Source organism: Homo sapiens, chromosome 5 (assembly GCF_000001405.40).
Source record: "Homo sapiens chromosome 5, GRCh38.p14 Primary Assembly".
NCBI classification, from domain to species: Eukaryota; Metazoa; Chordata; class Mammalia; order Primates; family Hominidae; genus Homo; species Homo sapiens.
Genome location: NC_000005.10, coordinates 3,960,784 through 3,964,231, shown reverse-complemented (window position 1 = coordinate 3,964,231; position 3,448 = coordinate 3,960,784). Strand labels below are relative to the sequence as shown.

The 3,448-nt window shown below is 44.8% G+C and overlaps 1 long non-coding RNA gene across 1 annotated transcript; it reads right to left on the bottom strand.

Moving 5' to 3' along the window:
* Window positions 1-225: 225 nt before the first annotated feature.
* Window positions 226-3,074, bottom strand: LOC105374626 (uncharacterized). The gene is made up of 2 exons (XR_925714.1): window positions 1,656-3,074; window positions 226-1,563 (listed from the first exon to the last, which is right to left on the bottom strand). It is a non-coding gene; the product is annotated as an uncharacterized LOC105374626 (long non-coding RNA).
* Between the last annotated feature and the right edge of the window lie 374 nt (window positions 3,075-3,448).

Sequence of the window (3,448 nt, the reverse complement as noted above, 5' to 3'; positions counted from 1 at the left end):
AATAGTTCTTCCTTCAACTGATTATGAAACAGCACTGGGGAGGCTCAACTGGTCACCCACAAGGACCACGGCTAGCAACACCGGGCAAAGCTTCAACTACAAGTGGGTTAATGGCACAGTTAGTGCCCTTCAACACTACCCACTCCCTCCAGCACCTAAAAAATGTAAATCTGCAGAATATATGGGTAAAATAACAAGAAAACTTCAAAAAATTGACATCTTGAATTTTCTTATTAATGTAAGATTTATTTTATTTCATTGTAGTTTATATGTGACTGAAGAACTTGGCATGCTTCCTGTCATTTACCAACATTGCTTTTGTCTTGTATGTTCTTTTTTTCTTCCCCTAGCCATAATGACTTTTCTTGCAAAGCTGGCAATTTTGTTGTGGTTTTGGTTCTACATCAAGATAACATAAAAGGCAACATGACATTTTTCAAAATTTCTTTGCAAGGGTATTTCACCATATTTCTTTCTACAGCTCAATTATCTTACTTGTTCAATGAACGCATGAGTCTTTCCTCAGAGCATGGTTTTTCATGTTTTTGTACATGCTCATCTTTGCTCAATATCTTTTAAAAAACTGAGCTCTTTTGGATGAATCTATCTTGCTGCTTATTGTAAAATCCAGATGGACAGGGAATAGACATTCCCCATCTTGATGTCTCTAGCACCTTCCCTGAGTTTATGACTCAGTGACAGAACCTGGAGGAAGAACATGGCAGGTTGGAGATGTGTGGTCCAGGTTCTCCATGAAGCCAAACGTGGGTCCTGGGACACTGCAGGTAGAGGAGATTAGTCCCGACGGGCCACTCCCAACCATTCCTTATACTACCCTAGGTCTTCAAAGGTAATGCACATACACTTACATTATTGAAGATGAATGCCACCCTGGTTGTGCTAAGCACAAGGAAACAGGCATCAGGCATTTTTTTTTACCACCCCAATAAACAACATAAACCCTTCTCCCTCAAAATCCAAAGGGGGCAGCTCTGAGAAGCAGGCATGCTGAGCACGGAGCTGGGTCTCTTCTTCTTTCAAAGGGTGACAGGGGCGATTCAGAATCACGAAAGTGATGAGGATGCTGTGAAAGAGAACCCCACTATTGCCTGCCCCGAAGAATATCTGCAAGAGACATGTACATTTCTTCAAGGGGCAAAGAACTTAAGTTTCCACTTCTCTATCTGTTTTGATTTTAAATATTCTAGGAGGCATTTCTAACTTGAAATCCACGAATCCGTCTGATTTTCCCAACCCTGAAGTTCCTGAAGTGGTACTCTCTTTCATTAGAAGATTTTCGGTGGATAGATAAGGAAAAAAAAAAATAGAAAAAGAAAAGAAAGCAACACTATCATGATTGGAAAGAGGTTGGGGGTTCTTTAAAAATAGTGGTGTGCGGGGAGGAAGGGGGTGAGGTTGGCGTCTGAGACTCTGCGGGTCTGAAATCAAGCCTGCTCTGGTCCGATTGAGACCGGCTCACAAATCCAGGGGCTGGTAATCTGATCATCTTCTTTCTGGTTTCCATGCTGTGTTTTCTTCAGAGCCCCTTCTCCTGGTTCCAGCCTGTGACAGTGTGATAAGACACAAGAAATTTAGTCATCATGGCTGCAGTAAAGGAGCTCAGGGAAGGGATTACGATGTCCCATCACCCTCACATTAGCCACGGGCAGGAGCACTCTGGTGATTACAGAACCCAACACCAAATGCTTTCCTCCCCCTTTTCCTGCTTGGTGATATTTCCTTCCTGTTTTATTTACGTCTTCATTTCATAGAAAGAAACATTTGAAAGATTAGCTCAGAAATAGTCATCGTCACAATCAGCTCCTAAATCTGCGTGCGCGGCTCTCAGAAGAGGTACGTTCAGACGCGGCTGCACTTCTCCCACCATGGGCTGGACAGCGCCAGGAGTGCGATCGGAGCCTCATCTGCTGCTCCGTCTTTCTTAGGAAATGCACACAGTATAGCTGAGCAAGCCAATACGCAATACAGACAGGGTGCCGGGGAACTGCAGTTTAGGAAAAATACAATGCGTCGCGGAGGCAAAGCGGGCATGGTTGCGTCCTCTCTCTGTCACCTGGATGCTGTAGTGGTTTTTTTTCTTTCTGCCAAGAGGCCTTCTCTTGCAACAGTCGGTGCATGCTGGCCCAGGGTGGTTCTGGGGTGAAAGCTGGACACAGTGCAGAGATGCTGCCCACCATGCCCCTCTCTAGGAAGCCTCTGCTCTGCAGTTCTTTGGCTGAAACCCTTCATTCACAGAGCACCGTGTATAACCACAGCAGTTAAAAACAAAGCAAAGAAGAAAACTCGCTAACCATCATTTTAAAACAAATACATTTCTTTTGGACAATTTTTAAATATGTGGAAAAGACTAACAATTTTTCTCTATAAAGAGGAAAAGTGACATAATATCCAGGTGATAGGTAGGGAGGGAAGATGAAATACAGGCACATGGCTTTACATAATGCCAACGGGATGCCGTGACTTTTAAATAGTTTCAAATAGAACCACGAATCTAAAATAAATAAGCAAATGATAGTCTGAAGGATCTATTTTAAACACATAGAAGGCAGCATTGTCTGAGGGTCTCCTCAATTCATGGTCATGCACTAGAACAGCCAGACGCCAGGTCTGCTGCTCTGCGATGTCTAGCCTTGGGCTCAATGTTGCATCTGTAACAGTGACAGTGATGTCTCCCTCAGAATGCTTTAGGAGGGTTTTATCAAGCAAGAGCGTACGGTTCAAGCTCCGGTAATGTAGCCCATGCTCAGTAAGGCCAGTGTGACCATAGCACCACCATGGCCGTAGCGAGGGTGGGTGAACACAAGTAGGCAAACAACGGACAGTAAAACAGGGTGGAAAATGCAGGTGGGGGGTGGATCTATTGGACCAATTCTGAAATGAACTTGGTGCAGGGCTGACATTGGCCTTCTGCTTACTCTCTCTCTCTCTCTCTCTCTCTGTCTTCTCTCTTTTTTCTCTCTCTGTTACATAAATGAGAAAATTCACGTATTTCCAGCTCTTCCAGGTAAAGGCACTCTGCTTGCCACTCAGGCCTTGCTATCCATTGCAGTCATGATGCCCATCTGGTCACTGATGGTTGAGCTCTGCCATTGTTAGATTCTGTTGTTTCCACGGATACTTGGGACTCCAGGTCAGCCCATGACACTGCAGCCCTGTCCTACAGGTGAGAGCCACCATGCATTCTTTAAAGGGAGGGCCCTCTGAGTCTCGTCAAGGAGTCTTAATTGGGTGGCCTGTTGCTTGGTCTCCTGTGATAAGCCCATTTACCATCCCTGCCACTCTGAACCTTCTGACCCTTGCCTCAGTGCTCTGGCTGGGCACATTCAGCTTCTCAACTTCATTGACTCCAGGCCATATTTAAATCCAAGCTTCTAGCAGCTAGGCAGGCAGTACATTAAGATTCTTCTTGAGTCCTAGCCATTATTTG